Genomic DNA, 14,475 nt, shown 5'->3' on the forward strand with positions numbered 1-14,475 from the left:
ATTTATTCAACATTCTATGCCCTTGCCAGAAACACACCAGCTACTCCTTCCTGGGATTGTTCTACACTGAGGCTGTTGGAGGAGGAGGAGAAAATGGCCTCCAATTCTGGACAATGTGCAGAGAACCTAGAGAGTGTTGCTTCCACTCCTGGTGGTTCTCTCTCTGGCCTCGGCTGACTCTGGACCTGCAGTGAAGCTGAGGGGGTGTCTGTCTAAGGCAAGTGGTGATTTGGATTCCACCTAGAATGGCTTTTGACACTGCAAAAATAATTCTTAAGTACAGCTCACATTGTCTGGCTCCTGTCCATAGAATAGCTAGTGTACTCTTGCATAGAGGATTGTAGAATCACAAAATACATGGCATCTTACAGCTCAATGATGCCATGAGAACATGGCCAGATCCTCTGGGCCCTTCATCACTGTCTCCCTTTGAGAGAAAAACCCAGCTGGGGTGGCAGGGCCATAATTCAGAGAAAAGTTTTAGAGTCTTTCCCTTTCAAGGATTATTATCAAGGGCTAAAGAATAGACAAGTTTCTCCTCTGAGCAGGTGGGAGTGAGGTTTCTGTTTGCCCTCAACAACATCACGTTCTTTTAGGAACTGTATATTTAAATCAGTATCCAGTAGGTCTCTCCTTCTCCAATTTATAAAATATCAGATACTAATTAGAATCACTGTGAGATAAAGAGTAACGACAACTATGTTAAGTCTTTAATAAATGCCTGACTTAAAGTAGGAACTCAATCAAAATGTGATTACCACCCCCTTTCAAACCTCCTTTATCTCAGAAAATCAGTTTACTCTCAACCATGGCCATAGGAAGCTCTAAGTTTTATCAGTAACAGTGATCAGTGTTTTAACGTTCCCTGGCCATACCACACGGGGAACATGCCCTACACTGCAGATGGAAAGCAACAGAGACTAGACTTTTGTGAAGGAAATTTGGCCTCACAATGTAGCTGTCATGCCAGTGCACTACAGGTTGACTGTTCTAGAAATTTTGGTTCAAAAACCAAAGAGGAAGTGGTGATAAACAGTTGCCCCTGTGAAAGGACAGTGACTTCAAGTGGGAAAGAGAAGGGCTTCGATCTCCCTCAGGAAAGACAGTTGTGGCAAAAAGTAAAGCTGGTGCTCTCCAGAAGCATCATTCCAGAGGCCACACCTCACTGCAGGCAGTGGCAGGGATTGCAGGTAAGGGAAGCATGGGCTTGCCCTTCTGCCATCTCTTGGGGCAGTGCTGAGGTTGAAACAAGTGCCTCTGGGCAACTGAATCAAGGATGCACATAAAAGTCCCATTGGCCCCTTGGAATAGGTGATGTACATATCAAGGGCAGCTCATCTATTTACAAATTCTTAGATAGAAGTGTAATATGTGTAAGGTCTTGTCCCATGTTCAGAGGCCAGAACTCTGCTGGGTGCACAGAGCAGAAAAAGTGGAATGAGAAAAACCCTGGCTCCAGAAGCCTAGCAAAAGAGGTGCTGAGAAGGAGTGAGCACCCTTTGTACGCAGCCCCTGACTTCTCAGGCTGCAGAGTGAAATGCTCACAACCTGAGCTTTGAGTCAGGTAGACTCAAAGTGTACGTTACCCCAAGCTGCTTTGTCTTCAGTAAGTTCCTTAACTTTGCTGAGCCTCAGTGTCCTCCACTATAAAAGCAGAACACCACTACCTATTTGAGGGGATCACTGTGTCAATTAAATGAGGAAATATATGTATAGTGGTCAATATTGTGAGCATAATAGGTGCTCAATCAATGAGAAGTTCCTGTCTTTCCTTGGCTGCTATAATCTTAGAGGAAACTTTTTGCCGCTTTGCTCCTCATTGTGAAATGAGAAACAGGAATAGTACCAGATCAAAACACATTATGGGCCGGGCATGGTGGCTCATGCCTGTAAGCCCAGCACTTTGGGAGGCTGAGGCAGTTGGATCACCTGAGGTCAGGAGTTTGAGACCAGCCTGGCCAACACGGTCAAACCCCATCTCTACTAAAAATATAAAAATTAGCCTGGTGTGGTGGCAAGCACCTGTAATCCCAGCTACTTGGGAGGCTGAGGTAGGAGAATCACTTGAACCCGGGAGGCAGAGGTTGCAGTAAGCTGAGATTGTGCCACTGCACTCTAGTCTGGGCGACAACAGCAAAACTCCGTCTCAAAAACAACAACAACAACTAAAAACCATTATGGCTCACTCATTACTTAAAATTGCCAATTTAGAAAAAAACACCAGATACAGCCAGGGACTAAAAATAATTTCTTGGTATTGTCCACATTAGGATATGATTCATACTGGCCTAAAACTTCAAACACTTTTCTCAAGAGGAAAATTAAAGAGAAAACTGAGCAGGAGAAAAATGAAAGTCTGGTTTCAAACTTAATCTCCTCTTCCCGTCTCTATCAAGGCTATCCCAAGGACCCTCTCAGGGAAATTCTCAGGAGGGACATGCTGGTTGGTGATGGACTCAGCTTGAACCTCACAGCATGGCCCCATTCACTGATAGTTTAGAGGGTGTTACAGCAAACTTATTAGGATGATGGATGGGATCTGTAAATGCATAAATGATAAAGATGATTTAGTGATGAACAAAAAATAGGAACTGTGGCTGTTTACCCCAGGGATTCCAGGATTAGGTGCACAATGTTAGCAACACTCATGTCCCTAGTTTGAAAGATGACATAACTGTGTGCAGTGAAGAGGAACTATTTGCCCCCTTTCTCCCCTTCCCAACCCATGCCCCCCAAGACCAACACCATGTATGTGCCAGAGGGGATCTAGTGACTGATGACATGTGAGACTGGGAATGGAGAAAAGCTACCTGAAAGCCTTGGGGCTTATGCTCAGCACTGAGTCCTGGAGCTGTGCCCGACCAGGTACATCACGGTGGATCTACAGGGCCCAGCTGCAAAGATGCCACCTCTTGGCCTAGACAATGCATGAGCCCCAAAAACTGGAGCCATGTGGCTACTCACTGACTGCAGTCACTGAAGGATGCACTTCCTCCTTGTCAAGCTGTGGAGACGTGCTGCTCAGGGAGTGATGTGGGGTAGACCGGGTGTGGTTGCTGCACCAGATCTGGGGCTGAGTCTGGGACTGGGCATCCCACTTGGTCTCTAGGACTTCTGTCACTTTACTCATATTATGCATCTTCCTCAAGATACTAGTGGGGTAAGAAAGAAGAAAAAATAAAGGTCACCTAATGCCACAGCTGTACTAATCTGGAGGCTCACAGGAGATGTAAAGGGGAGGTCAAGAGGATCATTCCTTCAGAGGAGAAGCCAAACAAATCATTTCTGTTTCAGGATAGAGTATGGAGGGAAGGCGGGGACAGAGAGAGCAACAGTTGTCCGGTGCATTGGCTACAAACATCCTAAGGAAAAACGAAGCCGTAATGGGCCCCTTAAATAACACTCATGATTCCTTCACAAAACACCCAGAGACCCATAAGAGTTCAACTCCAGGTATGGGCATGGCGGTACATGCCTGTAATCCCAGCAATTTGGGAGGCCAAGGCAGGAGAATTGCTTGAGTCCAGGAATTCAAGACCAAACTGAGAAACATAGTGAGACCCTCTGTCTACAAAAAATAAAAATAAAAAATGAGCTGGGTGTGGTGGTGTGCACCTGTAGTCCCAACTATTTAGGAGGCTGAGGAGGATCACTTGAGCCCAGGAGGTCAAGGATGCAGTGAGCAGTGATCGTGCCACTGCATTCCAGCCTGGGCAACAGAGCAAGACCTCATCTCAAAAATAAAATTTTAAAAATGTTAAAAAAAAAAGAATTCAACTCATTCTGTGAACATAATTTTTAAAATAGTATTTGCTATAGGCCATTTAAAACAGATTCCCCAGGCAATGTAGCCTCACTGGTGTCTTGCAGTTTCTAGATCTCCTTCCCTAAGTATAGAGACACAGTATAAACTTTTGTTTGCAAGGAAAATTTGTAGCTGTTTTACATCTTCCAGCACTCCTTGGGTCACCCTTGAAGAAATCAGATATAATCTTACTCTGGTCTTTAAATAAGGGAAACCAGAGGTGATCCCTGGAGGTTCAGAAGACTCCTAAGACCCGGATAGGTTAGAGCAGCTCTATGTTACTAAATTGGTGAATTAATTGGTGAAAATAAAAGAATAATATATTTTTTAAAAAATTTTAAAAATGAGACTGCCTTATCACTAAGGATACATAATGGTTTAATGGATAAATAAGCTATTTGTTTTTTACTGGCCATGTATGCTCCTGTTTCTTTGAGCTTCTGGCTCTTGCTTCTGGATCCTTCACCAGATTACATCTTCGACAGCCCCTGAAAATTTGGAGTTACCTGAGAGTCGAAGACACCTGTCCTACTTGATTCTTCTTACTTGTACAGTCATCTGAGAACAAAATTCAAAAAGGCCAGTCATGCTTTAAGCAGGTCTCATTTCCCAGACTGCAAACAAACATGGAGGTCTATCTGGGACCAGAGACTTGACTACCTGATGCTTGCCTTGATTCCAGGATACTCTGAATTTTCTCAGATCTTGGGTTGAGTCTTTAGAGAGCTTGCCTGGCAGGCTTTCCTGAGCCCACCATGAAGGTCATCATCTCCACTTGCTTTGCCCTGAGTCACAGCAAAAAGCTAAAAATGTCTTTATTCCCACATATCATGGAACACATATCCACTCCAGCCAAAGCCTCCAAGTCCTGGCACAAGGCCAGCACCCAAACCCATGGCTGTGTGTTCCACCATAGCTTTCATGCAGAACTTCCTCCCTTCTCCAAGGAGATGATAGACATCCGTGTCCCACCTACCATCAGGAGACAGCACAGTGAACTCAAGCCTTCTGCTACTATGGGCCCTTGGGTTCTCAAGGGGGAATTTCATGTAAAATGCTCCTGAAACAGCTAATTATCTCACCACCGTGTACTAGTACACACAGTGCCTGAACCATGCCAAAGTCAGCATGATTCTTTATCATTTTTTTGAAGTGTGCCGATTAATGTTACTTATTTAATCCCTAGAACAATCATGCAACATTCAAGGGCTGGAATTATTTGACTTAATTTTTTAGGTAGAGAAACAGAAATCAAAATAAATATTAACCTGTCCAGAGCTGGTAAGGAACACATATAAGCTAGAGGTAGGGTTTTTGGATTCCCAGTTCAGGGCCCTTCACAAAAACCAGCTGCCCCTGCTCCTTCTGTCTTTCTGCCAATTAGTTTCAGATGAATACCATCATCTCTGGGGATGCCTCCTGCCCTAACAGTCATATTCCATGAGGGATGGAGGTGCTGGTGATCATCATGGCATCCTCAACCCTTCTTCTTGGAGCTCCTCTCCAGCCAGTCCTGACTCTGTCATGGTCTTAAGGTGGTGATTACAAAGCAGGACACCAGGTTGAAAAGTGACATGTGAATGGGGGTGGGATCCTGTGAACTTAGGACCTTGGGAGAGACTGAAAATCTTCCTAAGCTCTGCGGCCAACTTACCTGTGCTGAATTTTCTGGCAAGGCTCTCTGCCAGCTGGCTTCCTTTGGCCAGCTGCTCGCAGTAGTGCTGCTCCATATAGTGGTCAATGTTATTGCTCTGGAGTAGCTCCTCAAAGGTCTTTAGTGTGTTCTTGACATGCTGGATGAGAAGAGCAGAGGCCACTCTCCCAAGCTTCATCTTCTGCCGTAGGTGGGTTAACTCTTGAGCCTGATCCTGAATCAAGGAATGATACTTCCTAAAGTAGAAAAAAAGAAGTAAAGGTAGATAGGAATAACTGATAGGTTATAGCAATTTAGGAGAAGGAACTTGAGAGTATCACCAAAGGAGGCCACACACTGAATTCTAGCATATGTTTAGTGTCCTGAATATGGTAAAAGGAATGAAGGAAATGAAAACAATCTTTATGTGAAAAATCCCTTCTAAGATTGTCATTTTCCCTGCCACTTGCTAAAGAAGAAAAATCACTTGATCATATTAATAGATGAAGAAAAAGCATTTGACAAAATTCAACACTCATTCATCATAAAAACTCTCAACAAAGTGGGAATAGAGGAGACCTTCCTCAACTTGATAAAGAACATCTATAAAAACTCTACACTAATGTCATACTAGAAACTAGAAGCTTTCTCACTAACATCAACAATAAGGCAAGAATTTCCCCACTTACCACTTCTTTTCACCATCATACTGGAAATCCTAGCTAATGCAGTAAGATAAGCAAAGGAAATAAATGGTATACAGATTAGAAAAGATGAACTAAAACTGTCTTTGTTCACACGTGATGCAGTTATTGTATTATAGAAAATCTCCAACATGGTGAAACCCCGTCTTTACAAAAAATACAAAAATTAGCCGGGCGTGGTGGCATGCGCTTGTAATCCAGCTACTTGGGAGGCTGAGGAAGGAGAATTGCTTGAATCCGGGAAGCAAAGGTTGCAGTGAGATGACATCGTGCCACTCTGCACTCCACCCTGAGTGACAAAGTGAGACACTGACTCAAAAAAAAAAAAAAAAAAAGGCCGGGCGCGGTGGCTCATGCCCGTAACTCCAGCACTTAGGGAGGTCGAGGTGGGCGGATCATGAGGTCAGGAGATCGAGACCATCCTGGCTAACACAGCGAAACCCCGTCTCTACTAAAAAAACAAAATAGTAGCCAGGCTACTCAGGAGGCTGAGGCAGGAGAATGGCTTGAACCCAGGAGGCGAAGCTTGCAGTGAGCCGAGATTGAGCCACTACACTCCAACCTGGGCGACACAGTGAGACTCCATCTCAAAAACAAAAAGAAAAGAAAAGAAAATCTGAAAGAATTGACAACAAAAATCTCCTGGAACTAGTAAGTGATTATGTCAAGGTAAAATCTAACAAAACATGTACAAGATCTGTATGAGGAAAACTGCAAAACTCTGTTGAGAGAGATCAAAGAAGCACTAAATACACAGAGAGATATTCTGTGTTCATGGACAGGAAGACTAAATATTGTCAAGATGTCAGTTCTTCCCAACTTGATCTAAAGATTCAATGCAATACCAATCAAAATCTCAGCAAATAAATTTTGTGAATATCAACTAATAGATGCTAAGGTGTACATAGAGAGGCAAAAGACCCAGAATGGCCAACACAATATTGAAAAGGAACGGAGGGCTGATATGACCTGACTTCAAGACTTACTGTAAAGCTACAGTAATCAGGACAGTATAAGATTTGTGAAAGAATAGACAAATAAGTCAGCGGAACAGAATAGAGATTCCAGAAGACTCCAAAATATAGCAGATTGATCTTTGACAAAGGGACAAGGGCAATACAATGGAGAAAAGATAGTATTTTCAAAAAATGGTGCTGGAACAGCGGGACATCCACATGCAAAAAAAGTGAATCTAGACACAGACTTCACATTCTTCATGAAAACTTACACAAAATGGATCATAGGCCTAAATGTAAAACATAAAATGATTAAAAAAAAAAACCCTAAAAGATAACAACAGCTGAAAATCTAGATGACCTTGGGATTGGTGATGACTTTTTATTTATTTTATTTATTGATCTAAAGATTCAATGCAATACCAATTTTAATTTAGAGACAGAGTCTCTAAATAAATTAATTATTTTATTTATTTGTTGGAGGGCATGATCATGGCTCACTGAAGCATTCCTTGGGCATGATCATGGTGTGATTATGGCTCACTGCAGCCAAACTCTTGGGCTCAAGTGATCCTCTTGCCTCAGCCTTCCAAAGTGCTGGGATTGCAGGTGTGAGCCACCGAGCCCAGCTATATGATAACTTTTCAGATATAACACAAAAGGCATGATCCACAAAAGAAATAATTGATAATCTGGACTTCATTAAAATTAAAAACTTCTGCTCTGCAAAAGGCACATCAAGAGAATGAGAAGACAACACACTGGGTGAAAATATTTGCAAAAGACATATCTGGTAAAGGACTATTAAGCCAAATACACAAAGAACTCTTAAACTCAACAATAAGAAAATGAACCACACAATAAAAAATGGGCAAAAAACCCTGAACAGACACCTCACCAAAGATGATGGCAAATAAGAATATGAAAAGATGCTCAACATCATATGTCATTAGGGAATTGCAAATTAAAACAACAAGATACCACTCTACACCTATTAGAATGGCAAAATCCAGAACACTGATAACACCAAATGCTGGTAAGGATGTGGAACAACAGATATTCTCATTCCTTGCCGGTGGGAATGCAAAATAGTACAGCCACTTTGGAAGACAGTTTGGCATTTTCTTGTGAAACTAAACATACTCTTACCAAATGACCTAACCATCTGCTCCTCAGTATTTTCCCAAGCGAGCTGAAAACTTAAGTTCACACAAAAACCTGCACATGATGTTTATAGCAGCTCTATTCATAACTGCAAAAACTTGGAAGCAACCAAGATGTCCTTCAGTAGGTGAATGGATAAATTTTGGTACATGCAGTCAATGGAATATTATTTGGTACTAAAAAGAAATGAGTTATGAAGCCATGAAAAGACATGAAAGAACCTTAAGTGTGTAAGTGAAAGAAGCCAACCTAAAAAAGCTACATACTGTATGACTCTGACTATATGACACTATGGATAGGTAAAACAGTGGAGACAGTAAAAAGATCAGTGGTTGCCAGGTGTTAGGAGGGAAAGGAGAATGAATAGGCAGAGCACAGAGAATTTTTAGGGCAGGGAATAGTCATTCTTTATTACAATGGTGGATGCATGCCATTATACATTTATACTTGTGTCAAAATCTATAGAATATACACCACCAAGAATGAACCCCACTGTAAACTGTGGACTTTGGGTGATGATGAGTCAATGTAGGTTCATCAGTTGTACCAAATGTTATCACTCGGGGGCAAGATGTTGATAGTGAGGGAGGCTGTGTCCGTGCAGGGGTAGGGGGCATATGGGAACTCTCTGTTACTTTCCACTCAATTTTGCTGTGAACTTAAAGCTGCTCTTAAAAAGTCCATTAAAAAAAAGAATGATCACAGAAGTATAATTTTTAAAAATATATTTGATGAAGTGGGTGTAGTGTAGCCTTTGTGAATCGAGAGCACAGGATTCTAATGTTATCTCTGCCAGAGGCTATTATGCAACTTTGATCAAATGACTATCTCTTAGGGCCTAAGTGTTCTCAGTTCTAAAATGAGGTAATGAGACTAACTGACTCTAGAGTTTTTTGGGTGTTTTGTTTTGTTTTGTTTTGTTTTGTTTTGTTTTGTTTTGTCTGAGATGGAATCTTGCTCTGTCATCCAGGCTGAAGTGCAGTGGCGCTATCTTGGCTCACTGCAATCTCCACCTCCCAGGTTCAAGCAATTCTCCTGCCTCAGCCTCCCAAGTAGCTGGGATTACAGGTGCCCACCACCATGCCCAGCTAATTTTTGTATTTTTAGTAGAGACGGGGTTTCACCATGTTGGCCAGGCTGTCTCCAATTCCTGACCTCAAGTGATCTGCCCACCTCAGCCTCCCAAAGTGCTGAGATTACAGGCGTGAGCCACTGCGCCTGGCCTAGCGTTATTTTAGCCCTAACATTATTCTCTGGGTCAGTGAAATTTAAGTGGAATATATTGGGCAGTGACCTAATGGAGCATGAAGCAGGATTTGAATCACTTCCAAAGCTGTGCACCAACCACTTAGGCAAATTACTGATTTCAGTAACTTAGTATTTCAGTAACTGGCGCTCACAGGCAAATGCGTAATGGATTAACCCCATATTATTTAAATGCTTCCAAAAAGCTATAGGAAAATGGCCATTAAAAACAAACTGACAAATTTAGCCAACAAGCCACTATTTGACAATTCTGCAAGCTTATTTTTAAAATTCAGCTTATCAAAACTGCCATTCCAGAAGCCAGGGACCTGAGTTTCCATAGAGGATGGAGTAGAATGGAGGGGCCTCTGTATAAATCTACCTCCTCGGGAACTGGGACAGTTCAGCATTCACCAGAGTAACATATGAAGAAACAGGAGATTCCTACATGCTCCTGGGGATCCAGAAGAGAGACCACTCACATGACTGGAAGATTTCCAGCTCAGGTAACCACAAAGGCCATATATTTGGTGAATACATGCAATGTTAGTTAGAATAAAACCAAATTTCTCTGAATAATATAAAGTCATTACTAATAAAACTTTTATAGATTTTTCTCTGAAGAAATTTCCAGGAAGGTATTAAGAGAAAGCCCTACAATTAAGGTATGGAGGCTGGCTGCAGGCCCTGAAAGCTACTCTGACGAGCAATGACTTAATGCTGATAGTGGGAAGTCTCTTGCCCACTGCAGGATACAGAGAATTCTTCCTCAACCCGAGGCTTCTGCTCATTCACTCCCTTCTCAGCAGGTCCCTTCTTCTCTGAGGGCTGATGCATCCCAGCCTTCTGCTGGGACATTTTCTCATGAAGAGCTCTCTTACAGCCGTCTTTGAAAGGAAGGACAGAGAAGAAAGATGTCTATGTCTTCACAATGGCCAGGCTTTTCTCCAAAACTACCTAAAGCAATTGAAACAAAATTATGGCTTACAGAGGTTAGATTATTAGTGGAGATCCTGTAGGACGATAGAATCTCAAGAGCAGAGCCTACCAGGAAGTAGAGTGAAGCCTACAACTTCCTCAGCCATGAGGACCCAACAATCCACTGGGTAAAAGAAAGATGCAGCAAGTGCTGGGGTGGGGTCGGGGTGGGTGCTGTTATGAGAAGGAAGGGGAGGTCCCACAGGTGTTTAGAAGAAAAAACAGGCAATAAATGAATGAAAACAAATGGGGTTTAAACTAAGCTAAGGGATGAGTATTTTTGTTTCTTATAGCTGAGATAAAGTTCTTATGAAGTTCCCAGGGAATGTCCCTTCAGAGGTCAGGAAGCATTTTGCTTCCACAAGTTTTGAGAGTCATGAAGGCAGGAACACATTTTCAGATGCCAGAGCTCAAATCCCATGTCACTGGGACATCAACAATAGTGCTATGGGGAAGACTCAGGGTGCCAGCTCTTGAGTCACAATCACAGAATTAGAATGTGGAAGTAGCTACAGAACCCAAGGAAGCCCTGACTTCTGATAGCCACACTCAATGCAAGGCTGCGTATTTCACCCTGGAGGTCTCTATAACAGGGGAGGCCACCCCCTCAATAGCCAGCTTTTTTACCCTTTTGCTTATGTTGTCAACCAATTTCTAACCACAGCAAAATAACCTAAGTATACCTCTCCTTGAAAACATCAAAACATTTTCTCAGCAGCTTTTATTTTCTTGAAGACAATTTCAGTAAAAACAATTCTTGTGGCTTTTCCTAAATGAATTTTTTTTTAACTTCTAGTGATTCTTACTCTTCGTTTTTAGGAACTCTCCAGGTTTTCACTTCCTACATTCTTTCAAGAATATAGTGACTAAAACTGGAGAATAATCATTTAAGTCTGACTAATAAATTTAGCCTCATGTTGTATTACCTTTTAATACATAATAAATAATATATCCCAATGCGATACTTGCTTCCTTTCCCTTGCAGTAGCAACGTGTAGGGATTTCATTTAATATGAGGTTGATTTTAGCCTTCCAAACTCCCATTCCACCCACCTTTGCTTGCACTCATGGGAAGGCTCAGTCTATATCTGGTTTGCCCACATTCCTAGGCTATAGACCTCTAGGACTCCCAATTTGAGAGGCGCCATTTTTTTGGAGGGTAGTGAATTTTGATTTCTGTCTCCTTTGCATCCTTCCCAATGAAAACTGCTTTCAGCCACTCTCTGCTAGCCTCTCACCAGCACAGAGCTGAATTCACAAATGCCTTGAGGGGAAAACCTTTACCAAGTGTTCAGTTCACATCTCAATTCATTCTAGAATCTTGGCTTTTCAAGTCAAAATACCTGGACAGCTCCACACGTCTACCCACTCCCCACCCCCATGAGGTTACTTAAAGTGCTGCTGTTTTCTCTGGTTTTTAACCACTGCCCTCTCCCCAGCTTCTCAGCCTCTTGTCCCTTGCCAAGAACTAGCAAATACCCTGAGGGGGAAAAATTGTTTCATTCCAATGATCTTCTTTCTCTCTCTCTCTCTCCACCCGCTTTCTGTAGCTGGCCCTGTGGGTCCTAGCTTTTCAAAGACTTCAAACAGAATTCCTTTAAACCAGATTTTATCTACTTCTTTTCGAAGGGAGTGCTGGTTTGCCACAAAACTCCATCGTAACTGAAAGAGGAAATCTTCTACAAATTCCAGGTAAATCAAATTTTCCTACCTTGATTTCTGAAGAAAACAAAAAAAAGAGAAGAGGCCATTGGTAGTATATACTTGCATTTTTCTTGTAATACTTGCGTAAGTCTGAATGGGTATTAAAGGCTCTTGCTAGAATCATGTGCCAAAGATTGTCTACCATGACCTAAACAATCAGGCCTGTCCAAGGTCCAAGAATTTGATCAGGTTGGATCCAGTCCTCTGGTGCACTAACAGAGATCCTGTTGGAGGATAGAATCCTGCTGTAGGATTCTACATCTGTACTTTGAGTAGACACTTCAAGTAACCAGTTTTTCAGACACCTGGCCACTAATATGGGGAGAAGAGGTCAAAAAAACCATTGAATATTTCTAATTTATTTTAGGGAATGTTAAAATTTCTCACTGGTACAGTTAGAAATGAAAACAAAGACATAATAATAATAGTAATAATAATAATAACTGTTTCAAGAGCATTATTATGTGACTGGCATTGTTTCTAAGTGCTTTACTGTGTAGTAACCTATTTAGTCCACATAACGACCCTACAAGATAGTGTTGATTTTTTTGTTTGGTGGTTGTTGTTGTTGTTGTTGTTGTTGTTGTTGTTTGAGATGGAGTCTCTCTCTGTCATCCAGGCTGGAGTGCAGTGGTGTGATCTCAGCTCACTGCAACCTCTGCCTCCCGGGTTCAAGCGATTCTCCTGCCTCAGCCTCCTGAACAGCTGGATCACAGGCCCCACAACCATGCCCAGCTAATTATTGCATTTTTAGTAGAGGCAGGGTGGTTTCACCATGTCAGTCAGGCTGGTCTCAAACTCCCGATCTCAGGTGATCCACCTACCTTGGCCTCCCAAAGTGCTGGAATTCCAGGCTGAGCCACCCCGCGCAGCCGATAGTGTTGATTATTACAACCCCTTGTTGCAGATGAGAACATTGCACTGAAAGGCTGAGCTTACCTTTCCAAGGTCCCATCATCTCTATGAGAGTGAGAGCCAGGACTCATCCAGACCCTTGCTCTGAGCCATTAGGCTTGGTGGTAACTAAGAAGATCTCACTAAGATGCGCATTCCCTCCTTCTTGCTCAATCTCCAAGATTTCGAGGACAAAATGGAAATTAAAAGTAAGGCCTACAAGATGGCTATTATTTTAAAAAGAAGGAAAGAAAATTATCAGTGTTGGTGATGATGTGGAAAAATTGAAACCCCTGTGCACTGTTGTTTGGAATCTATTAGGTTGGTGCAAAAGTAACTGCGGTTTTTGTCATTATGTTTAATGGCAAAAATCGCAATTACTTTTGCACCAACCTAATAAAATGGTACAGCCACTGTGGAAACCCATATGGTGGTTCCTCAAAATATTAAAAATAATTATCACATGATCCAACAAATTTACTTCTGGATATATACTCAAAAGAACTGAAAGCAAGGATTCAAAGAGATATTTGTGCACCTACATCAATAGCAGTATTACAATAGCTAAAGAAGGGAAACAACCCAAGTGTCCAACAACAGGTAAATGAATAAACAAAATGTGGCAAATACATGCAATGGAATATTATTCAGCCTTAAAAAAGAAAAGAAATTCTGACACATGCTACAACATAGATGAACATGAGGACATTATGCAAAGTGAAATAAACCAGTCACAAAAGGAAAAAATACTATATAATTCTGCTTATATGAAATACCTAGAGTAGTCAAAGTCATAGAGACAGGAAATAATGGTGGTTGTGCCAGGGGCTAGGGAGGGAAGAATGGGAAATTAATGGGTATAGGGTTTAGGAACTTTAGTCTAAGAAAGGAGAATATTGGATGCCAGAAATTCAGTTTTCTTTCTGTTCCAAGATCCCTTTAGCTAGAGCGACATATTGAAGTCAGAGTTCCTAAGGGAAAATCATTGTGTATGGAGATCATCCTTGTGGATCAAATGTGAATCAATAGTAGATCAAAAGATATTCCACTTTTGCAGATATTGACATTTGTTGGACCCGTAAGATTTTATCTAGTATTAGATAGATAAGATGTGAACCACTTCTCAACGCTGCAGACTCAAATACTAGGAAATACTAAGAACCTCAGGACAAACAAATAGCCAGTCCAAAAAGACTCACAGACTAGATAAGCTGTCATCTACCACCTAACAGATAATGTATCCCTGTTAACCACTATCCCCAGATGTTCATTTCATAAAGTCAAAAACAGAATTCCATGTGGATCATGGAAAAAAATGGTTGACAATGTACAAATGAGAGAGAGAAAAAATACTTGTCTAAGAATTACATTTAGTGTCTAAAAGCCAAATAG

At 41.7% G+C, this 14,475-nt stretch overlaps 1 long non-coding RNA gene and 1 pseudogene across 14 annotated transcripts in view; one reads left to right on the top strand and one right to left on the bottom strand.

Annotated features, from left to right (window-relative positions):
- PDE4DIPP7 (PDE4DIP pseudogene 7) overlaps positions 1–14,475 on the bottom strand; it is a 29,158-nt pseudogene that overhangs the window by 4,242 nt on the left and 10,441 nt on the right. For 5 of the 10 annotated variants that reach the window (XR_007066592.1, XR_007066588.1, XR_007066589.1 and 2 more), the window contains exons 3-6: positions 5,460–5,695; positions 4,466–4,590; positions 4,312–4,363; positions 2,965–3,152 (exon numbers count right to left, since the gene is read on the bottom strand). The product of XR_007066592.1 is annotated as a PDE4DIP pseudogene 7, transcript variant X13 (transcript). The remainder of the gene's footprint in view (positions 1–2,964; positions 3,153–4,311; positions 4,364–4,465; positions 4,591–5,459; positions 5,696–14,475) is intronic. The other 5 variants (XR_007066586.1, XR_007066584.1, XR_007066583.1 and 2 more) reach the window with 2 other exon arrangements.
- The window catches only part of LOC105371406 (uncharacterized), a 45,129-nt gene continuing 40,350 nt past the window's right edge, over positions 9,697–14,475 (top strand). For all 4 annotated transcript variants that reach the window (XR_007066595.1, XR_007066596.1, XR_002958361.2 and 1 more), the window contains exons 1-2: positions 9,697–10,613; positions 12,115–12,177. This is a non-coding gene — a long non-coding RNA (uncharacterized LOC105371406). The remainder of the gene's footprint in view (positions 10,614–12,114; positions 12,178–14,475) is intronic.

This window comes from Homo sapiens, chromosome 1 (genome assembly GCF_000001405.40).
Source record: "Homo sapiens chromosome 1, GRCh38.p14 Primary Assembly".
Taxonomy (NCBI): domain Eukaryota; kingdom Metazoa; phylum Chordata; class Mammalia; order Primates; family Hominidae; genus Homo; species Homo sapiens.